Here is a 24780-nt window from a genome sequence, read left to right on the forward strand (position 1 = left end):
TCAATGATGTGTCTAATAATCATTTACATGTGATAGTGTTATACCTATAAATGTAAGAAGCTTTTCAATTCAAAGGAACAATTTTAAAAAAATGTATAGAACATCTATAAAGGTATAAAATACCATTTACCTACATACAATGTGATATAAAGGATCCTTTATGTATAATGTATAATAAAATAATGAGATTGGCTTATGAAATCATATGTTCTTTTTATGTCAATGACTGTCTAAGCACTGGTGTATGAGACTAAGTGGTTTGTATGTACAAAGCTTCTATTTAGTGAATGAAGATTAATAAATACTATTCCAGAAAAATTTTATTATTATCAAAATAAACTATTTCTAGTACTGAATGGGAAAAGATGGAGGATCTTAATGCTCAAGTTAGTGATCCACAGATTTAAAAAGTTTAAGAGCCAGCAATAGATAAATTACATAACCCATAATGTGAATACATCTGATAAATTATTATTATAAAAAACTGATGAAGCACCCAATTTTTCATTTAAACAACAGAACCTGATTTAATGAATCATCAATCTAAACAGGAGCATTTAGACTGGAATCTGTGAATTTGGGAACTTTATAAATATATGTAGTTGACAGAAAACGGAAAGAATTTGGCCCAATGCACAAGAGTAGTCAGGTTGTAATTATTAATATCAAGTCAAAGTTTGATTTTTATTTACCCGAAAGCCAGAATTCAGGCAGAAAATGACACAATATCATAAGTGTGGAAAAAGAAAGAAACCATTACCGTAAAATGAACACAGAAGAAACATAGCATACACAGATACTTTTTGGTGATTTTGCTTAAAGAGAAAGACAAAGAATCAGACAAAATCAATAAAATAATACTGAGGGGCAAAAAAACCCATCAAGATTTCTTGTTTTTTTTTCAGAAAACTGACAACTGTTTAGAACAAAGCCAAAGATGAAACCAAATATAAAACCACTGATGAAAACTAAGTGAAAAATATAAGCAAAATAGAAGAAAAATAAGGTCGTTATTTCAAGAAAACGAAAGACAGTCAATGCTGTTCTTTGTATTCACATACAATTTGGTTCACACCAAAATGTGAGTTGTTCTCTATGAGATGTTATTAAATGTTCCTAAGAAGACTCGCTTTAGAAAAAAACAGTATTCCTAAGGCATGTCCAATCTGTCTCTTTTCTTAATTGCTATAGTTCTACTTTATTATTATAATGTATTCAGCATTAAAATTCATTATTTCCCAATAAGCTTGACTTTATCTTATAATGAAATACAACTGTCTTCTTGGTGATTTTTATAGGAGATATTATGGAAATATTTTATTAACAGAAGTAAATAAAGTGTCATATCATTTGGCTTTTCAGCCGTGTTATAACATTTGCATTTTGTTTTTTCTGCCTTTACCCTCCCTGCTTCTAGCTGCATAAAATAATGCATTTTAAAAATAAAAATACATTATTTTTCAACATATGTGTGACAATAAAAAGATCACTGGGTCAGGGGTCAGACGATCTGAGTTCTGCCCTTTCATTTTCTTATCTGTAAAAATGATTCCTAAGATTCCTTCTATTACTAACATTTTATAATCTACATTCAAATTTTATGTGAAAGTTTAGTGCATCCGAGATAACTATTTTCAAATAAGAATCTCTTTTGATGCTAACATCTATGCATCAAATTCTTCATTCTCAAGTTGTAAGTTGCTCTTTACATAATTTCACCTATGTACATATATTCTATAGAAAAAAGAGACATTCCAGTATCTTAACAATGTCAAAAAGGATATACTGACACTAACATTAACTGGAGATTGGAAGACTAGACAAATCAAGGCTAGAACTACATAAGGGAAGCTATTCTCCCAAATACGCTGTTTTTGCTGTTGTTTAACCAAAGATATCTTCCCTTTCATTCTTCTTTTTTAAAGCTAAGGATATTTAAGACATTAATATGTTTGGCTAACTGATTAATAATTCCTTCTTTTATAAGGAAACTATCCTAAAATATAAAAAACCGAGGTTAAAGTTATTAATGAAATATGTATGTATTGCTGTTATCTACATATCAACTCTGGCCAAAGAATAATTCAATAAAAATGATTATAAGCCCATATCCCAGAAGCTCATTAAAGAGCCTGATGAACACAAATTATACAAACCTGCTGAAATAGAAACATGATCTGGATCCATGGCTGAGGTTCTTGGCTGATGAGAATAAAACTGGACTTACTGTATAGGCAGTAATGACCCTTCAGGGAGCAGGTGAAGAACAACTTTGCTACACAACTTCTCACAGTGTCTAGAAACAAATACATATAGCGTTAAACGTTATGGTCTTTCCAGAGTTACACTTTATATTGATACTTCAACACACAAATGCCTTTATAAAATATCCTTCAGTTTTCAAACTGTGAGCTAATAACTACAAACAACTATATATTTGAGAGGGGATCCATTTCATGGAAAGTAGATTTAAATAAAGATTTTAAATTATTATTATTATTGTTTTAATTAACAATGTTTGAAGACTCAGCAACTCCCATGGGGGGAAAACCCTCTCACCAATAAAATGGGAGATACTATATCATTTTCATCTGATGGGATACCTTGAAGTGATAACCTGGGAAAAATAAACAAATGGATTAAGAAAACCCAGGCATTTTCTGGGTAGTAAATGACTTGCCATGAACCATGGATGCTGTTCTCTTGGTTGTGCAGGGGCCTCAGAGATAGCTTCCAAAATAACTCTGGCTGAGGTGTAGCTTCCTGTGAACTGTACTGGTCGGGTTTGAAAAGGTCATCTCGCCTTGAAGGATTTCAGCTGGGAGTCTTAATGAGATTATCCTTTAGGGACAAGGAAGTAGTGGGTGAGTGGTGTAGAGGTGGTGAGGCACCATGTGTAGAGAAAGAAATAATGAATAAATGAATGAATGAAGCAAATATGGGTTGAGATTCTATGGGCTAGGCACTGTGTTAAGTACTGGATAATAAACATTATAATTAATTGACTTCCACATGTGTTATGTGTTTGACTTCATTTAATTTTACCCTACAAGATGGGTATTATTTCTGTTATAAAGATGAGGTAACAGCACATTAGAAAGCCAGTCTAGTGAACCACTGTGACTGTGTTGTTCCCTCTTATAACCTTGGCACATGAGATAAATATTAATAGATGACTAATGTCTGGAGAGATGAATGATGAATGATGCTCAGAGATCCAGAAAAAATGGCTCAAGCCTGCTCAATCTGTGGCAGAGCCAGGATTGGAACTCAGCAGGGCTGATACCATGTTGGAATGTTTTAGGCGCTACTATACTGGGGATTTTTTTAATCTGTAGAGTCATACTGATAGTTAATGGGGTATTTTTTGTTTCAGAATTAATCTGACATTTTAAGTGAAATGTTTTGAAAATTAATAGAGGCCAGGCATGGTGGCTCATGCCTGTAATCCCAGCTCTTTGAGAAGCCAAGGTGGGCGGATTGCCTCATCTCAGGGGTTTGAAACCAGCCCGGACAACATGGTGAAACCCCTTCTCTACAAAAAATACAAAAATTAGCTGGGCATGGTGGCATCTGCCTATAGACCCAGCTACTTGGGGGGCAGAGCAGGAGGTGGGCTTGAGCCCAGGAGGTGGAGTCTGCAGTGAGGTGAGATCATGCCACTGCACTCTAGCCTGGGCAACAGAGAAATACTCCGTCCCAAAAAAACAAAACAAAACAAAAAAAAAAAGAAAGAAAGAAAGAAAGAATGAAAGAAAAGGAAAGAAAGAAAGAAAGAAAATTAATAGATTCAGTGATCCAGTATGCCCTACTCTTACAATGGAAATGGACTAGAGTTAGTTGAAAGTCGATGAGAAAAGCCAGGCACAGTGGCACACACCTGTTAATACTAGCTACTTGGGAGGCAGGAGTGGGAGAATCCCTGAGCCCAGGAGTTCAAGGCCATCTTGGGCAATATAGTGAGACCACGTCTCTAAAAGCAAACAAACAAAATAATAAAAGCTGATAAGGATCCTAGTACGGGCGACAGAGTCAGTCCCCACCTAAGACAGAGTGTTGTTGAATTCTCTAGAGAATGGGGGAGGAAGACTTGTCTGTGCTCTATCAGAGGTCAGGTATGAAGGAAGTGACAGGCTTTCAGGAAAAGTTTGAAAAATCTTAGAGCGGCCAATGAGAGATTAGAGGAGAAGGTCTTGGAAACCAAACAATAATGTGACAGGGCAAGTTAGAGATATATACAGAAATGTTAATAATTAATAGCTTTCTGTGATTCTGAAACATTGGTACAGAAGAGGACTAGTTTTTGTGAAGGTAATTGTTTCAGGAAATTAAAAAGATTTAAGTTGAACATACAGTGTTCTTGTATAAAATCAGAAATCATGTCTGTATTCTGTGGGCGAATGAATCATGAGATGTAAAGAGTGCTTGAAGCCTCAGTGGACAAGACCAGGAGGTCTGGCACTGAGAAAGACCTGGGAGAATAGAATGGAGCATAATATCAACTTAAAATTGCCCTATCAGAAATTGTTTGACAATGATATACTTTTTTTAAGTTGGCACATATGCTCGGAAAAATTGAATTTAATTTATGGTAAAGAAATAGGAAACCTATTATCTCAAGAGCACATACAAAAAATGGTATTTGAAATAAATCTAAGTGTAACATATATATTGAGATAGCAATATGTTTTGTTTTAATGGAAAGTTTCAAAAGGAAACAAGTTTTCTTTTCCAAGAATTCATGTAGTTAGCTTGAGAGTTGTAAGTTGGACTTTAGGCCTTTATCATGAAAAAATAGTTTCTGTCTTTTTCCTCCCTCTAAATTTTTACTGCCAATTCATGTTTTCTTTTGAAAATAAACATTGATTAGATTTATTTCACTCACTCTGAGCCTACCAGCTTTTTATACACAACCCACAGGAGTCTCAGATCACATAAAATGGTCAAAGTAGTATAAGAGAGAGATTCTTAACTTAGAAGCATATACACTGGCTATAAAAATACATCAGTTCTGTGATATAAGGCTTCTGTGAATGCTTTCAGTACATCTGGTCTGTACCAATATTTTTATCCTTATTTTTTTCAGAGCTTTCTTGGCTTGCAAAATTCTCCCCATGACATTAAGACTTAGTTGTTAATTTTTCCTGTATTTCCCTCCTGTTTATTCCATAGTATCAAACAGCAGGAATGCAATAAATTGTTGTTGGATGAATGAATGAATGGATGAGTGTCAGATATGTGTTGAGAGCAATAGGGGCCATGATGATGGTCCTGCTCTTAAGAAGCTTGCAGCCAAATGGGAGAAACATCTGAACTTACAACAATGGTTATAAGTTGTTTTAAGTTTATGAGATAATGGAGGGACACATAATAATGACTGCTCACAGAAATAAGCAACTCATTCTGACTGGGGAACAAGGGGAGGCTTCATGGAGAAGGAGATATTTGAGGTATACTTTGAAAAATGATCAAGATTTTGAACTTAAAGTGTGAGAGAAACAAGCACTTTAGGTGTAGAGAACCCTGAAAGCAATCACATAAACATAAATGTTTAAGGTAATTCCAGATAGTATGTTTAGTTTATCTCAGTCATTGAAATATTACTTATATAATTGTATAATTGATGCCAAAAGGATTATTCATTTTTCTAGACTAAATGTTGAAGAGAGAAGTCATGCTGTCTTAAATATAGAATGCTTTCCATATTCAACCAAATCTGAGAGTAGTTTCTTTATTTTTATTGGAATGTGGCTTCTTTTTCTAATAATCAAAGGATTTGGTTTGGTCTTTATAAAGACTAAAGTTAACATGAACATAAGTAATTATACAATATAATGTGTTATGTGTTAAAATACCAAATATATTACACAGATAAATAAATTTAAAGACATGATACAAAAATACAAGAATATTTGGTCTTCTTTGAGTCAAAATCTTTAAGAATCATTTTGGAATTCTTTGTTTCTTCTGCCACTCCTCCTCCACGATGCCATTTATATGCCGTTATTCCTGCAAGGCATTCACTAGACAGTATCTGAGAAACACATCGTTCTTCTTGGGAGACTAGACACTTATAACCTATTTCTCAGGTGGCCACTCATAACCTATGCCATTATATATATATATTTTTTGGTTTAGAGATAAGTGTCTTAAGATTAAAAATGGAATATGGCTTTGATTTTTTAATAGCTAGTAGAAATATCAAAGAATTGGCTTTATGTTTTGGAAAAAAAGAATAAATTAGGTCTCATTTTGAATTCTTTACAAAACTTATCCTTTGAAATTTCCCTCCCAGTGAAATAAAGGTCAGATAAATGTATCTGGCTTATTTCCCAGGGTGTTCAACTGAGCATTGTAGAAACTGTATTTCTACAATGATTTATAAAAGCTCAAACACATGAATATGTTTGCTGAAACTGCCAGACTATAAGTATTTACACACTGAACATAGCTTATAAATAAACAACAAACTCAGAGAAGCCATTTTGAGAGATTTAGGAAAGGAACTAATTTTCACTGACTCCTTACTTTGTACCCAGATGTAAGTGTAACCAATTACATTTCATCTTTATGAAGCAGGCTTTGTTATCTCCATCTTACTGAAGAGGAAATCTCAAGATCAAACTTCCAGGAAGCAGCTGAGCTGAAATTTGAACCCAGATGCCAGAGCCTATTCTCTTTCTAGTACATGAGTGAATGGCTCAGATAAAACAGAGGTAATAGAAGTACCTCAAAAAGAAGTATAATTCAATAGAAAGAGCATTGGCTGAGGATTCGGACAGAGTTTTATGGGTAGATTGTGTTTCTTTTCCTCTCTGTCCTTGAGTTTCTTATCTTTAAAGTGGGAGCAGACCAAAAGCTGATCCAGAATGAAACAAACAAACAAACAAACAAAAAAAGCTCATCTACTTAAATGATTTTTACATTTTAATTTGCTTATTAACTTTCTCTCCTAGATTGTGAGCTCCATGAGGGTAATGATTTTTTATTGTGGTAAATTATATAAAACATATAATTTATGTTTTACGTTTTATATAATTTACCACTTTATGGATAATATGGTTTAAAATTTAAACCATTTTTAGGTGCACAATTCGCTGGCATTAAATACATTCACATTGTTGTGCAAACATCACCACCATCCATCTCCAGAACTCTTCCATCCTTCCTAGTTGAAACCCTATACCCATTAAACCGTAACTCCCCATCTTCCTCTCCCCTGAGCCCCTGGCAACCAGCCACTCTATTTTCTGTCTTTATGAATTTGACTACTCTAGGTACCTCATACAAGTAGAATCATATAATAGTTGTTCTTTTGTTCTGGCTTATTTCACTTAGCATAATATCTTCAATGTTCATACACATGGTAGCATGGGTCAGAATTTCATTTCTTTATTAAAGCTGAATTATTTTCCATTGTATGTATATGCCATGGTTTGTTTACTCATTTTTCTGTTGATGGACATTTGGGCTGTTCATACCTTTTGGCTACTGTGAATAATGCTACTATGAACATGAGTATGGAAATATCTCTTTGAGGCTCTGATTTAAATTCTTTTTGGTATATACAAAGAAGTGGCATTGTTGGATCATATGGTAATTCTATGTTTAGATTTTTTGAGGAAATTTCGTATTAGAAATGAAATTTTTATCTCTGAAATTCTACAATTTACTAATGGCCTACAGAGGCCTGTGAAGAAATGTGTCTGTGAGGGCTGTCCAGAGCAGGGCTGGACATTTGCTCAGGGCTATGAGGGCTTGCACTTGGCACTCACGACAAGCTAGATGACAACAGGAGGAGTTTTCTTCTGCCTACTTGACACTAGCGTGACAGGAACCCTTGAAGCAATTTCCTTCATTTTCCATTTAATTCTTCTTTATTGTATTTCAAAGACAAAAAATTCAAAACATTGACGCAATGAATAAATAATACTGTCATTTAATTGTATGAATGTCCTAAATTGGACAGGAAAAAAAAGTAGAAGAAAATGGAACTGGTAATTTGTCTGATGAGAGCTTTCCAAAAGTAGGTAAAATAAAGTATGTTTTTGAAGTCAACCATAAGTTCCAATTTGGGGAAAAAGTGCAGAACAAACTCATTACTTTAAAATACCATTGCTTTTGACTGAAAAAAATGGAAGAAGGCATCACAAGCCAGTGTGGACCACTTGTAAAACTTTGATTCCATGTGATTTGTAAAATATATTAGTATTTTAGACTAAAACTCTATTCCTCCTCACCTCCAAGTTAAAGTTTAGAAGTTTTGAATAGAACAGCAATTATTTCATAACTTTGATGGAGTAAATAGAAGAAAAGATATTTTAAGGTAAAAACAAAATTAGATTCTCAAAAATAATAATGAATTTGAAATAACTGTTTGAAATTACATCAAATAATTATTCATGAGTGGACACTGCTTTAATCATTTGATGTTTTCAGAGCTCGGTTCTGTAGAAGGTGTTCAGAAGTGTGAGTTGTTGAACTGACCTGCACTGAAGGAAAAACTGCCAAATCTCTCATTTGTTGAGAATCTAGGACACGTAGGTAATGGAAAAGAGGACTTGCCTAGTGTTTACTAAGTTCTATTTACAACAGTATTAGTTGAGAAATATGTGTTCCCTTTACAGCAGCTGGTGGGCCCCTGGCTATATCACATGCATATGTGTGGGACGTCCCTACCCAGAGCAAAAGTACTATGCTCATTTCCCCATTGTGGCAAAAATCCAGCCAGTTGTCAAATGGGCATGTTGGATGCTTTTGTTTTGACTTATCCAGAGAATAAAACAATTCTTTTGCAAGTGATTACTTTAATAACACAAATTTGGTAATTATATATTCAGAAATATACAAGCCATAGGTGTACAAAGACCTATGCTTTGACCCTGATTTTGAGGAAAAAAATAAAAATTTTGTATTGTTATGTGAAAACATATATAAAAGCATAAGAAAAGGTCTGTAAAGTTATAGATCAACCATCGACAGTGATTACTTTCATATTGAGAAGTGGGAGTGGGGTGAGGAGCATGCACATTTTACTTCATATACTTCTGTATTATTTTAATTCTCTCCTTATCAGTTTATATTTATGTATTACTTACATAATTTAAAAATATACAATGAAAAAGTGCTATTTGTTAAAGCAGGCAATTTATTTATCTGTATTTTTTGAGACAGAATCTCACTCTGTTGCCCAGGCTGGAGTACAGTGGTGCAATCTGAGCTCACTGCAACCTCCACCTCCCAGGTTCAAGGATTCTCCTGTCTCAGCACTCCCTGAGTAGCTGGGATTACAGGCATGCGCCACCATGCCTGGCTAATTTTTTTGTAGTTTTAGTAGAGATGGGGTTTCACCATGTTGGCCAGGCTGGTCTTGAACTCCTGACCTCAGGTGATCCGCCCACCTCAGCCTCCCAAAGTTCTGGGATTACAGGCATGAACCACTGTGCCCATATTTTTAAGTTCAGGGGTACATGTGCAGGATGTGCAGATTTGTTACATGTGGCATGGTGGTTTGCTGCAGAGGTCATCCCATCACCTAAGTATTAAGCCCAGCATCCACTAACTATTCTTCCTGATGCTCTCTCTCCTCCTCCCCACCCTCCAACAGGCCTCAGTATGTGTTGCTTCCCTCTATGTGTTCTCATAATTCAGCTCCTTTTTATACGTGAGAACATGTGGTGTTTGGTTTCCTGTTCCTGCATTAGTTTGCTGAGGGTAATGGCCTCCAGCTCCATCCATGTCCCTGCAAAAGACATGATCTTGTTTTTTTTTTTTTATGGCCACATAGTGTTCCATGGTGTATATGTACCAAATTTTCTTTGTCTAGTCTGTCACTGATGGGCATTTAGGTTGATTCTGTCTTTGCTATTGTGAATAGCGCTGCAATGAACATACACGTGCATGTATATTTTTAATAGAATTATTTATATTCCTTTGGGCATATACCCAGTAATGGGTTTGTTGGGTCATATGGTATTTCTGCCTCTAGGTCTTTGAGGAATTGCCACACTGTCTTCCACAATGGGTGAATTAATTTACACTCCCACCAACAGTGTAAAAGCATTCCCTTTTCTCCACAACCTCATCAGGATCTGTTGTTTTATTGACTTTCTAATAATAGCCATTCTGACTTGTGTGAGATGGTATCTAACTGCGGTTTTGATGTGCACTTCTCTAATGATCAGTGACATTGAGCTTTTTTTCATGTTTGTTGGCTGCATGTATGTCTTCTTTTGAGAAGTGGCTGTTCATGTCCTTTGCCCACTTTTTAATGGAGTTGTTTGTTTTTTTTTCTTGTAAATTTGTTTAAGTTCTTTGTAGAGGCTGAATATTAGGTCTTTGTCAGATGGATAGATTGCAAAAATTTTCTCCCATTCTGTAGATCATCTGTTCACTGTGATGATAGTTTCTTTTACTGTGCAGAAGCTCTTTAGTTTAATTAGATCTCATTTGTGAATTTTTGCTTTTGTTGCAATTGCTTTTTGCATCTTTGCCATGAAATCTTTGCCTGTGCCTATGTCCTGAATGGTCCTGCCTAGATTTTCTTCTCGGGTTTTGATAGTTTTGGGTTTTTCATTTAAGTCTTTAATCCATCTTGAGTTGATTTTTGTATAAGGTGTAAGGAAGGGGTCCAGTTTCAATTTTCGTCATATGGCCAGCCAGTTCTCCCAGCACCATTTATTGAATAGGGAATCCTTTCCCCATTGCTTATTTTTGTCAGGTTTGTCAAAGACCAGATGGTTATAGGTGTGCAGTCTTATTTCTGGGTTCTTTATTCTGTTCTGTTGGTCTGTATGTCTGTTCTTGTACAAGTACCATGCTGTTTGGGTTACTGTAGCCTTGTAGTATAGTTTGAAATTGGGTGCCTCCAGCTTTATTCGTTTTACTTAGAATTGTCTTGGCTATTCAGGCTCTTCTTTGGTTCCAGGTGAATTTTAAAATAGTTTTTTCTAATTCTGTGAAGAATGTCAATGGTAGTTTAATGGGAATAGCATTGAATCTATAAATTATTTTGGACAATATGGCCATTTTCATGATATTGATTTTTCCTATCCATGACCATGGAATGTTTTTCCATTTCTTTGTGTCATCTCCGATTTCTTTGAGCAGCAGTTTGTAGTTCTCCTTGAAGAGGTCCTTCACTTCCCTTGCTAGCTGTATTCCTAGGTATTTTATTCTTTTTGTGGTAATTGTGAATGGGAGTTCATTCATGATTTGGCTCTTGGCTTGCCTGTTGTTGGTGTATAGGAATGCAAGTGATTTTTGAGCACTACTTTTGTATCCTGGGATTTAAGCAAACAATTTAAATGATGTCTCACTAATTACCATGTAACAGGGCTAACATTTATGATTTTAAATATGTTTTTCTTTTTTGCCTTCTGAGTACATAGCCTTTGCCTGAATCCAGTTAAGTCTCCACCTATCTGGCTGTCGAGTGATGGTGGGAATGGTGATAGAGTAGATATTCAACAGTTATAGGAGTACCAAAAAAGTAAAATGGAATTAATTTTTTTAACTGCCAAAATTGGGTTATGCAGCAAGATAATAGCCTTGCAAGTGAGGCTTTTGTCTCAAGAAGGAATTTTCTAAATTTCCTTACCTCCCTTTAGCCTATCATTCCTGAACATGGAGGATATACATTGTAGGACCTGTAGTATGAAGAGGGTGACAGCTTGGTCAGTTCTATGGTTGTTAGGTAGGAGAATATAGAATGGAACAAGTAAAAGAGAACAGGTTTTAGTTCTGGCAAGGAAAATTATGGAGAGAAGGAGAGAGACAGAGAAGTGTAAAGCCATCAGAAGTGGGTCCTGACTTCCCTCACATTTGGGCTTTGGCCTGGAGAAGGAGAAGTATATTAGATACATTATGGTAACACCATGGGCAATGGTCACCGCTGAAGATTCACTCCCAGGTGGCCCTCAGCACCAACACAGGGTAGCCAACTTAATTAAAAGCACAGCTCCTGAAGCCAGACAGAAAGGAATCTCTGAGGTTCAGCTTTCATGGTCACTCTTTCCTCTGTTATGGAGTAGAGTGGAGCCAGTAGTAGCTGAGGATCTTGCTGGTCAGCATTTCAGAGAATTCACCATAGTGAGGCAAGGAGTATGGTGTGGCTCTGCACAGTAGACTGCAGAGAGAATTGTCCAAGCCAGGACTCAAGAGGGGCATCTCACACCAGTGGGCACTGAGATGAGGTCAGATTGGCAAGGGAGACCCCTGGACCGGCCCATGTGTAGAGTGAAAAAAAACCATTATCCTTCAGGCAAGAAGACACACCACACCCCTATCCAGGGACATTAATGCTTTCCACCACCACAAGGGAGCAGGAGCCACTTCCTAATGCTCCCAGATGCCACCTTAGGGAGATAAGCATAGGAGAGATGAGAGAAAGAACATTTTTATCCAAAGGAAAGATTGTCTCCTAAAGTACCATTCAAATGAGCAGTTGGGATTAACTTTAGGCAGGGACTCTTAATTTTCTTCCTCACTACCCAGTGGTTGGTTGCTCTTGATCAGCTCTAGACATAATGATGGCACATTTTCTCTGCAAATCTAAGTTGTAATATAAAATAAATTTTATAATATTACAATAAGTGAAAAAGTAATCATGGAGAATAAAACTATGGTACAGTGAAGAAGACGACTCAGGTGGAGAAAGAAATCTTGTCCTAAAGAATCAGGGAACTTTAGAAACACTTATAAGAGTCACACAGCAAAGGGTAGAGGATGGGGAGTGAGCTGTAGGAGGACGTTGAGGGTTTGCATGTGAGGGCGAAATCAAATAACACACAGTGGTATGTAGTGTCCCTTGGTGCATATAGACTTGCAAATTTCTTATATGAAAACTGTTAAAAACTTGTGCCTGCTTGCTGCTTTATGTTACTATTAAAGAACAGAGTACGACTTGCCCATTAACCTATTCAAATCAGGTGTTGAAGAGCCTTGGATGCTCTCACAAGCAATGTTTCTGCCCTGAGAGAGGGAACAAAGAGCCCTTCCTCTCAGAAGCCACTCTAAAGCCAACTTCTCTGATCCCTTATCCAAAGTTCAATTCTTCTCCAAGGTGGTGGTTAGGAACACAGATTCTGGAGCGAGACTTTCCTATTTACCAGCTGTGTGTCTTTGGGCAAGTTACATAACCTCTCTGTGGCTCAATTGGGAACACTAATAAGAGCTCCTATTTCTAAGTGTTGTTTAGGGTGACCGGCCATCCCGATTTGCCTGAGATTAGAGTGGCTCCTGAAATGCAAGTCTTCCAGTGCTGTCACTAGGAAAGTGCTGGACAAAGTGGAATGAGTTAGTTATGTGAGCATAAAGAGTTAATTCATGTAAGGCTCTCAGACAGACATGTGCTTGGCACAGAGCATGTGTTTAATAATGTTCATTATCATGATCACTGTTACTGCTACTATTGTATATGGAAAAAGAAAAAAAAAGGATCCCTAGGCCAGGTGGAAATGTTTGAATGTTGCTGTAATGCTATTTTAATTAGAGGAAAGAGACTGCATAATGACCCTTGGCATCTAGGTTGCTCAGTGTCCTGAAATGTTCACCTAATTGCTTATTTTAAAATGAACTTACTACACAGCTAATAATGATGTGTAAGCCAAAATCCCATTCTATACAATGAGAATAAATTTCTCTGGGGACAGGGCACAAGTAGAAGGTCCAGCAAGAAAGAAAACCTCATAACAATGCATGAAACCATCACTTGCTCTCTGAGCGTCTCCAAAGTCCTAGGACTGTTAAGATATGTGCAAGTGAGACTTTTGATGTACATGTCGTTTTGAGGCTCAGAAGCACAGAAATGTTGCAGGAATGCCACCAGGAAGCTCAGGAAAGGCTTGATATTTTGCTCTATTCAAAGCTTCGTGGCAGGAAGATAAAAAAAGCTAACATTAATTGATTAGTTTTTAAGTACTGGGCAATGTTCTAAGAGTTTTATGTGTGTATTGCCATTTAATACTCATGCCAATGAAGTAGACACTTCCAGTTTTGTGGAAGAATCTGAGGCTCAAAGATGTCAAGTAATTTATCTAAGGTCACATGGCTAGCAACTGGCAGTCCAGACAAATCTAGACTGTTTGACTCTAGTGCCCGTTATACTCTGCAGCTTACATAGGTTATGCTTAGATGAAGCAGCAATTATTAGTCCCCCCTTTTAAGTCGAAGAGGGATTTAATTTATACCCATTTATTTTTAATGATTTAAATCTTATAAATTATATATCACTTTCATTTATTCTGTATGTAGAGACTTGTTGATAATTTGCTTTTGGTATTTATTGCAGTTTTTATCTTTATCGTATAACTGAATGAGTTATGTGGCACATTCCCATCCATGCCCAAACCTCTCTTGAGAGAAGCCCAAGTGATTGACCCATCAAATCCCAGCTCAAGATATTACTGTTTTCCAGTGGGAACCACCTGAACTGAAGGCAACAGGAATCGAAGAACAACTCAAGGAAATAAATTGCCTCTGTCAGGTTAGCCATGGAAACCAGAACATCTACAGTAAAAGCAAATGTCATAATCATAAAATTATTTTTCTATAAATTCATGCTTTACATGATAGAGGTCAATATATCTTTGAAATCTTAGTTTCATTTATTGCTTCTTTCAAGTTGTCTTCATGTATAACTTATTTCATTTTTATGTGACCTAAAATCCAATGATGATGACATCAATCATCATAATTAATATTAAACAGAGTTGCCTTTTTTTTTTTACTATTTCTGATTAATTAGTTTTACTTTCACTTTCTTACTGCTGCTCAGATGAAAAGTCATAAAATAATGACTAGTAATGTTATTCAGCTTCCAGAAACTCAACCTTCTAGCAGTAAATTGGAAACAGCTGGTTATATATTTTGTCCTATTGAAGGAAACAGAAAGATCCATCGAAAAACTAAAGTAAAAATTTAATAGAGTTGAATTACCTCTGCCTCAACTGACTATTTCCCAGTGGTCCACAGGGTAGCATGAACTTCGGGATGAGAAGGCAACATTAATTCAACAGAGGCTGTAGGAGTGTCTTATTGTCCCCAGAACCTCTAGAAGCTCAGAAATTTGCCTTGTGGAGGAATTCTGATGTTAGGTGTCAGTTCAAAATCTTATGTCCCAGAGCTGGAATGGACTTTGAGTGGTGGTCTCTCTTTTAATAGACAGGATTGCAATGGAATCAACTCAGAAAGCTCTTCTTTTCTTTCAAGTCTTTAGATCCCAAACTCTTAAAAGCATGAAGAAGCTCACAGTTCAATTTTCCCTATTCTTTACATCATAACAACTTCACTTTGAAATTAAATAAAGTGTTTTGAGATTAGCAAGACCTCTATAGTCAATTTTTCTGCTTCACTGAGAACCCTCTCTTGTGAAAGGGAATCTGGAAATTAGAAAGTCAAGATGAAGGCATTTATGACCCAGGGCCTGCTTGAAAATAGTTGAAATACTTAAAACCCATCTGCACTGTATGATAGCTTATTGCTCAAAGGAAATCTCTTAGCAGAAAGCTGTTGAGCTGTTGCCCCCAGGAGAGGGCCTTCCACATTCATGAACACGCAACCATCTGAGCAGCCACATAGTAACTGGGATTGTTCTGTATGAAAAAACTGTATCATAAAACACTTCATTATTATTGAGTCCTGGACTGGACTTCTGGGTTGATAGAAGTAGCAGCAAATGGGATAAACAATGAAGGGTCTTTCTCAGGATTTCGATGGCAAAAAGGCAAGGGGTAGCTCAAGCACTAAGTTTCAGTAAGGAGCCTAAAAAGACCACGTGCTCCAGCTGTAGGGATCATGGAGCCTTGTCTTGCTTATGCCAGCCCTCGCCACCTATCAAGAGCAGCAATCTCCTTCCCATGGCAGGTTTTGCCCCAGCCACATCCAGAACCAAGGGAGGCAGGCCTGGTGGTTAACTGAGGTTCCGAGGCCACTATGTTAACAGGCTGGAAATAGTCTGGGTTGGGAATAAACAAAGATGGAGATACATAAACAGTAAGCTATGGGTCCTCATTCTTCTATCCTGGTGGGACCCACCCCATCCTTTTGTTGGAATAGAAGCCACCTCTGAATCCTACCTAGCTGCTGCTAGTGCTCTCCTATCCGGAGATTGGCCCTGTGCATGGATATCCTGTGTTCACCTGAATGGATCTTGCTGGATGGATGAAACATGACTTGCAGCCAAGAACTGCATCTGTCCTGGAGCTCTTGCTGCCCTGAAAATTTCATCCCTTCAGATAGGATGCTGGGGCTCATCTGCAGGGCCATTGCTAACAGCCACACAGGCTTTCCACCACATGAGTCCAGGAGGGACATTATTCCCACAGGCCACAGTGTAAGTGATACCGTCTGGAGTTCGGCAATACAGAAGCTCTGTTTATCCAATGCAAGTGAGCCACACTCCTAGGACAGTGTGATTTGAGGTGGTATGGTGATCCTTGGGGGAGACTGACATTCTATTCTAGTTAGTCTCTTCTCATACAACACTTCTTACCCCCATTGCGTATGCCTATGATATTCTTTACTTCTTTCAGCCCCATGCATGCCTTGTGGCCAAGACTCTGCTTTACGATTCAACCAAACCTCACTTCACTTACTAAATCTAGCACCAGGAATGAAAGACAGGGAGAGCGGGATATATTTGAGAAATTGGATTTAACTCTTCTTCCAACAGAAGATGACTGCAGAGGACCGCAGGACACCTCTGGCCAGGGCAATAGCCTAGCATAGCACAGTAAATTTGCACTGAGAGAGAATTACACTTCTTGCAGCTCTTTCATGGTTTGTGTATGTTCAATGATAATCAGGCAAATAAATAATAAGATAAATAGAAATATGGTTGTACTTGCAGATTTGAATAACAATGGTCTGTTCTTTAAGGTCTGAAACTTTATCAACATTGTTCTGAGAGCTGAGAGCACACTTCCATTGTACATAAGCTTTATTATCACAGGACAAGGTCAGCTCAGCCCACAGTACAGGGGCTAATAGGAAACACCATGCTGCTACACAACCTGGGCTCAAATTTCAGGTCTATCTCAGGTCTGCCAGTTATGTGATCTTAAGCAAATTTTGTTTTCTATATTTCAGTTTCCACTTTCACAATTTGGGAATAGTAATATGTACCTTACAGGGTCAAATAAAACATTTAAAATACTGCCCAGTACATGGTGCTTGCGGCTACTGCTGGCATAGAAGGGTTAACCCAGACCATTCCATAATTACACTAATTGTATGTGTTTATTTGTGGAGGATATGCTGCATATTAAGTATGGAGTTTATCACAGAATATGTAGTCATATATTTAAAACAAATTCTTATTGCAGTAAAATACATGTAACATAAAATTTACCATTTTGACCATTTTAAAGTGTACAGTTCAGTGGCAGTAAGTACATTTATGATGTTGTACACCTATCACCACTATCTAGTTCTAGAACTTTTCCATCACCCTAAATGGAACCCCCACATCTGTTAAGCAATTATTCTTCATTTCCCCTCCTCCTAGCTCTTGGCAACCAAAAATCTGCATTTTGTCTCTATAGATTTGCCTATTCTGGATATTTTATATAAATGGAATCATATAATGAGTGGCCTTCTGTGTCTGGCTTCTTTCACTTATTATGATGTTTTCAAGGTTCATCCATGTTGTAGCATGCATCAGTATTTCATTTTTTTTGCATGGCTAAATAACATTCCATCATATGAATATACTACATTTCATTTGCCTCCTCATTCATTCATGGACAATTGAGTTGTTTCTACCTTTTGGTCATTGTGAATAGTGCAGCTATGAACATTCAAGTACATGTTTTGGTTTGAACACTTGTTTTCAATTCTTTGGAGTATATTCCTAAGAGTGGAATTGTTGGGTGGCATGGCAATTCTGTGTTCAACTTGTAAGGAATGGTCATATATTTTAAAATAATTATTTCCTTATTCTTACAATGTCCAAACTTAAAAATAAAACTGTCATATTAATTATGAAGGAGGTGAATCTGAAGAGTGACATTTGCCATCACTTTTCCAGTCACCTGATTGTACACACAGATGAGGAGCAGTGCTTACAAACAATACTCAAATCAGGATCATTTCTGATTGGGTGGCTGACTGCTTACAATTACAGAAAAGTGTTATTGTGGCAATGCTGTTCATATTTTTGGATTGATTTCAATGTTGTTTCTGATATTTCCAGGAATTTGGCCAGTAATACTTCCCAAAGTAGGAATAATGAAAAATATAAATTATGAAACTAACTGAAAATTGAACTTATCTTTAAATGACTATATTGATACTTTTAGTTCTCCAGTGAATTTTTGGTATTCCCTAGGAAGAATGCACCTTCCAATAAGTGATGAGTGTCACTCAGTTCTGGGATGAGGAATGTTTTGCAGTGCTTATCCGATCACAAAATCCGCCAGGGGAAGTTCACTCGGAAGACCTCAACTTTTTCCTACCAGGTACTCTTGATGGTTGCCAAATACAAGTTAGATGTCCAAACATTAAGAATACAAAGTAGTCAATGTCAACATGATCAGAAAGGAATCTGGGATATTTTCAGAGGAGTTAGCACAGTTTCTAGACATGAAAGTAATTTTGGAATTTACATGAATTTTAAATCAAATACACACACATACCTCTCTATATATTTGCATGACACTAATGTAGTTGATTTCTGGCAACAATACAGAGCCACTTTGTGGTCACACTGAGTCAGTGGAAGCCCATATGGTAGAAATAAACACTTGGCTCTTCCAAGCACAGATTTATCAAAAGTTGTACAGAGGCAAATAAGGCAGGCAAGCCGTGATCCCCTGCAGGTACCATTCCATGTGCTACCAATTACTTTGCAACTCTGCAAAATGCATAACAGTAACCAGATATAGGGCACAGAAAATTTTAGGAAATTCTATTAATAAACTCCACTAAAATGGGTCCGTTTACATTTTTTTTTCCCCAGAGGAAGGAAGGATAAGCCTAAGATCATGTATATGTGAGTCACCCATTGCATTGCTCTCTCTGGTTGGCAGTTCTGAACTAAGACCTTCTGGGCTGGCCACCATCAGGCATCAGAAGAACACTCATGGGAGAGTTATATGTATTTACCAGGAGGTTTATTATGTCCGATATGTTGGTGCAGGGTATATAGGACCTCCACATAGTGTATATCAACTCCACGTAGTGTGTATCAAACTCATTGACGCTCCTGTTAGAAGTGGCCTTTAGCAACTACTAACTAAGCCTGACTTTCCTAAGATGCCAACCGTCTATTCCCTGTTGACTTCATGATCATGTGGCTGACATGAGAAAGTTAGGGGGCATTTTATTTCAGTCACTGCTGCTAAATGAGGTGTTACTGAATAGAAAGCAACTAATTTTGTGCAGCCAATTCTCGGGATATACCATGAATTTGAAAGCCAATTTTAGAAAATAATTCTAGTCTTAAGGAAATTCAGTTCTTCAGGCTACAGGTAAGACTGGAAGCCTCTGAGGAAGGCATTTTCATGTGGCTAATTGTACTCTTAGAGTACAAGTTCTGAAAAATGTTACAGATTACTTGTCATTAATGCAGCTGCTGTAACAACATGAACAGCCATTAAGCTTGAGGAAGGTTGATTTCATTTGTTATCCTGCACTGGGGAAATGTCTACCAGCATCACCATCATTAACAAATACTCTGAGGACTTACCAAGGATGAGACATTGGGCTGAGTGTTAAAACTATAAAAAGATTCAGAGTTTTACAGCTTAAAAAAGAGATGTCAGAAGTATATGAATATTTAAAAAGAGCAATCCATGATCAAGTGCCAAATGAGAAGTACTGGGAATCACGGGGGTGTAGAAAGTAAGAAATAGGCTAGCCCTGATGAATGCTAGGCCTAGATAAATAAAATAGCGGGCACCTAGAGGAGCAAGAGTTTGGGTAAAGGCATGGAGGTGGGGATGAGAATGGCATGTCCGAGAAGGCAGTGTGGGATAAAGAAGCAGTGGCAAGATCATAGAGCCAGGGCCAAGTCCTGATTCTGCCTTCTACTGGCCATATTACCTTGGACAGGTTATTCGCCTTTCTATTTTCTCATTCATAAAATGAGGACAGTGCTAACTACACTACAGACTTGTCACCAGGATTAAATAAAATAATTTGTTCACCTTTTTAAAATTATCTATCACCTTCATCAATATTATAATGCTCAGAGTCAATGAAATTATCTCCAAAAAGCTGCTGTCAAAAAGCCCAAAGTGTGTTGGCACTGGGAAATTGGGAGGTGTTTTTTTCTTTGACATTCTCAAATACAGTAGACCACTGGGCAACATAGTAGGACCACATCTCTATGAAAAAAAAAAAAATGCTGGGTGTAGTGGCCTGTGCTTGTAGTTCCAGCTACTTTGGGGGCTGCGGTGGGAGGATGGCTTGAGCCTGAGGGTTGGGGCTTCAGTGAGCCGTGTTTGCATCACTGCACTCCAGCCTGGGCAACAAGGAGGCCCTATCTCAAAAACAAAGAACAAAAAACAACTCCCCACAAGAAGGAAAGGAATGTGCATGGGATAAGGAAATGCAAATACAGAAAACTGAGACAGGAAAGGAGAACAACAAAGAGAGGGAGAAGACAGGAAGATTTATTATGAAGAAAGGTAGTCAAATCAAAGGAAAGACAATCATGGAATAGTGGTAGTAAAAACCCAAGAAGACCAAATGTTTTCCCCTTTGAATACAGCATATAGGATCTGAATATAAATAGTGTCTAGTGTGGGACAGAAGAAGGAATAGAGTACAAAAAGTGTCCATCTCTACAAAAAAGAAATCAGTCAACTATGCGTACTTTTTTTTTCTCATCAATTCTCCAAATATTCTGCTGGGAAAAAGATGGGAGTTATTGGCTCCGAGTTAGTGAAGCCTCTTATATGTGACTCCAGTGACCCTTGAAGTTTGCATCTGTTACAATCAAGCACACCATTTCCTAACACACTGCCTTTGTTTGCTGGACTCATGCAGGGCGGTGGAGTGAGTCACTACATAGCCCACTAGGCACCATGGCTACCAGCCTCCCTCTGCCTGCTGTTTCCTTCCTGGACCGAGACCCTGACATGCAAATCAGCATCGTAGAATCCTCCTTCTGGCATTTCTTGTCTTCTCATTTTCTACTCCTTCCTTACATGATAGCTCCTCATCAATGAGTACTAAGAGTGACTGAAAATACTGCGAATATTTCCTTTGGGTCTTAGAAAGCAGGCTAGAGGGAAAGGGTTTCAGAATAGCTTAATAGCAGTAAAAGCAGTGAATGTTAAACTGCTAGTTATTGTTGGCACTATTCTTGTCTAAGTCGTCTGAATACCAATATATTTACAGTTAGAGTTAGGGCCCCTTTCCCCCAAAACCAATTACTTTGAGTTTTACAGATGAGCTAAGGGTGCCAACTCAGACAGTGACTGCATCAGATTATAACCTAGCATTACTGAGGAACCATTTGCTGCCCCTCCAATGATGCTTAGAAGACCTCAGCAGAACTGGATAAAATGCTTCCTATATGGCACCTCTCTTGGACCACAATGGTATTACCTGGGCACTGCTTACCGCTAGTTCAGTGAACACTCTTGCATCTGCTTCACTCTGCCCAACATTGTGTTGATTCATCTCTGTCTGCTGTCTTCTTCTCCATTCCCCTAAGCGTATACCTTTTATTTCCTTTATTATCATTTAAGTGGGGTTTTATTGCTAGTAGAGATAAACATGTTCAATCAGCTATGTTTACCAGAAGTCTCGCATGGAGGATCAGAAACCCCTACACTCCATCTAACACAAAACTCCAGGTGAATGTGGAAAAATATAATCTAGAGCAAGGGTTGATAAACTACTGTCCATGGGCAAAGTCTGACTCACTGCTTGCTTGTTTAAACAAAGTTTTATTGGAACACAGTCATAGCCATCCATTTATGAATTATCTATAGTTGTTTTCCTACTACAATGGCAGAATTGAGCAGCTTCAACAGAGACCACACAAACTGTCCAAAAATATTTACTACTTGGACTTTTATATGGGAAGTTTGCCAGCCTCTGCTCTAGAACGTAATTTGATTAACAGTGAATAATATTGTAAGACATAATATAAACATTTTTCTGTATTTTAAACTTGTTTGAAAAATGCTAAAATTTTTGGAATTATTACGCTTAGTTTTAGTGTCAAAGGAAATGCCATAGGCATTTTATATATTTATATATGTATATAAATTTATGTATTTATATATAAAGAAATATATTTTACCAAGAAATGGCAAAAGAATATCCTTTTAAATAAAGGTATTAATCTAGATATCAAATATAGCAGTGCGATAAATGTTACTTATAAAGAGAAATCTGGCATTTCTTTACATATTAAATTAAGAAAATGTTAGTTAACATGACTGTTGTTTCCAGTGTTTCAACAAAAATATTTAATTTAAAAGGTTATCCTGATAAAATTTTGTAGCAAAGGCAGCTATAATTGAACATAGCTAGCTTAGATCTTTAAACTGTACTTCTAAACTATTGCACATTTTTCAAACCTAAATTTTCACCATCATGATTAAAAAGTGAAGCATCTTTGAAAAAATAATCTTGCTCCATAAGGTCAAAATATTTTCCAACACAGAAAAAAATTCTGGAAGGAAATACATATCATTTCTAAAAGTGGTAAAATGATAAGATTAAGGATGACTTTCTTTAGTTTTTTTCCTATTTTCCAATATTTTACAGGGAACATTATACTTTTATAATCGGGGAAAAATACCTTCACTAGAATTTTTTTCCACCAGGAAATGGATTAGAATTGAGCTGTGCTGTTATAATAGATTCAATTAGCCTTTCAACTGTCACCAAGTTATTATTGCAGTGGGCTAGCCTTCTGAGGGATAAAATGATCAACTAAGTTTATTTTATACATAAAAAGATTTTAGGTGATAGCCTCAGAGATGTAAAATACTCAGAAAATAAGAATTGTGTCTGAAGATCATTGGATATAGAAAAATTGGCAGTTAATTTTTTTTTCTTCAGTTACCACTCTGGTTTGAAGAATAATATGAAATAGCACCTCCCCAGAATAGTTATTATGTTCTGGGGAGGTCTTTACCAGGTCCATTCCTCAACCAGGGCTTTCCTAGATATGGGTGGGCTGGAGGTGGAAGCAGTGGGGACAAGTTACGTATCATCCTTCCTCCTGATATTTTTCTACAGATAAAAATGAATGTGCAATTAATGTCTATGATAAATAGTTCCTATAATGTGAATGCTGATTCAATTTAGGAGTAAATGTACTAAGAGCTTTTAGAAGAAAGTCATATTTTTTTGGATGCTTCCCTCATTTAATCCTCAAATATGCAACAAATTAGCCATTATTATAGATTCAAAGGTTAAATCTGTAAACCAAGGCCTTGTCTACTGGAGTCCATGTTCCAAACCACCCCTCCTGATGGACTGACTCCTGCACTTCTCTACCTTTATGAATAACTGTAATAAGCTAATTTATTTAAAACATTGAATATTGCTAGCTTAGATCTTTAAATTGTACTTCTAAACTATTCCACATTTTTCAAACCTAAATTTTCCCCATCATGATTAAAAGGTGAAGCATCTTGGAAATCAATTTTCACTAATTCTATGTTTTCTTCAATGTATCAAATGTTTGAAAATACCATGCATGTACTCCCAGCAAATGGTTAACATCTTAACTATTCTGTTTCTTTTTCAATGCTGAGATTCAGATATCATTTATTTGTGGCAGTCTCTGTGGGTTTTCAAACTTTTATATTGCATCATAAGACAATTAACTTTTCCTAATAAGGGCTGTCACCCTAACTATAAGTAAAAAGTCACATGCAATATTAAAGTCCACAGAAAGATTGTGATTCAGTCACAAGCTCAAGACTGCACATTGATGGTATGGACATCTCTATTAAGTCAGGTGCTGGGCAGACTTGTCCCTTGCTCCTCATTTGTTGATTCATTTGTGAATTCACTGAACTGCACTGCACTGTGTTGAGCACTTGCTTTGTGCCTAGTGCTGTGCCAGACACTAGGCATCAAGAAGGTTCAGAGCCTACAGTGATATTGCAAGGATATTGACTCAGAACCTTGGTGCTGACTGCTTCTATTCTCAGTTATTGTGGTTAGGGTTCTCCACTCTAGTTCTGGCCCTGGGACTCCAACCCACCCTCTGCACACTCTGAGTAGGTATCCCATGAGGTATGTGAGATAACTGGGTTATTTAAGCCAGACTCCTAAAAGTGGAGGTTATTGGAAAACCAAACAAGGCATCTCAAATTCAGGCTCCAAGGGCTGTTTCTGTCCCACCTGGACCTGAGACCCCCACGGCCTGAGAATATTGTTCTAGTGCCCTGGGCTTCTGCTTGTCTAGCATTTTAGGGGACAAGGAAATATTCTGCAAAGGTCATTTATCTGTGAAAGCAGTGACTTATGACATGGGAAGGCCTCTGCTGGCTGCAGGGGTTGGCCCTGGCCAGATTTGTTGCTGCATGGATTTCTGTGCCCTGGTCAGCCATCCACCAAAGGTGGCAATCCTGTTCCTCACCCTGTGCTGTTGTTGCCAAGCACTGGGCCCTGCACTGGACAAGTAGGGCAAAGGTAGCTGAGGGCTCCACTGCTCTTATGATATTGACCCATTCACTGGGGACACCTCAACCTCACACTTCCCTTTGTACTCTCCCGTGTCTCTAAATCCTCATCTGTCTGGAGAACATCAGACCCTTGTGTCTGGAGGAAAGTGATAGAGGGTGGGAACACAAAGGAATG

At 37.3% G+C, this 24780-nt stretch overlaps 1 protein-coding gene and 1 long non-coding RNA gene across 17 annotated transcripts in view; one reads left to right on the top strand and one right to left on the bottom strand.

Annotated features, from left to right (window-relative positions):
* Nucleotides 1-24780, top strand: part of LOC101928236 (uncharacterized) — a 220247-nt gene that overhangs the window by 141206 nt on the left and 54261 nt on the right. Inside the window, exons 6-7 of the long non-coding RNA XR_007096141.1 lie at nucleotides 906-1081; nucleotides 14291-18458. This is a non-coding gene — a long non-coding RNA (uncharacterized LOC101928236). The remainder of the gene's footprint in view (nucleotides 1-905; nucleotides 1082-14290; nucleotides 18459-24780) is intronic.
* The window catches only part of VEPH1 (ventricular zone expressed PH domain containing 1), a 243864-nt gene that overhangs the window by 55164 nt on the left and 163920 nt on the right, over nucleotides 1-24780 (bottom strand). For 15 of the 16 annotated variants that reach the window (XM_047448927.1, XM_047448922.1, XM_024453748.2 and 12 more), the window contains one exon: nucleotides 2157-2296. In XM_047448927.1, the coding sequence (XP_047304883.1) occupies nucleotides 2157-2296 (140 nt within the window). Of the gene's footprint in view, nucleotides 1-2156; nucleotides 2297-2630; nucleotides 2842-24780 lie in introns of those variants that run through there. The other variant, XM_047448928.1, reaches the window with a different exon arrangement.

Source organism: Homo sapiens, chromosome 3 (assembly GCF_000001405.40).
Source record: "Homo sapiens chromosome 3, GRCh38.p14 Primary Assembly".
Taxonomy (NCBI): Eukaryota; Metazoa; Chordata; class Mammalia; order Primates; family Hominidae; genus Homo; species Homo sapiens.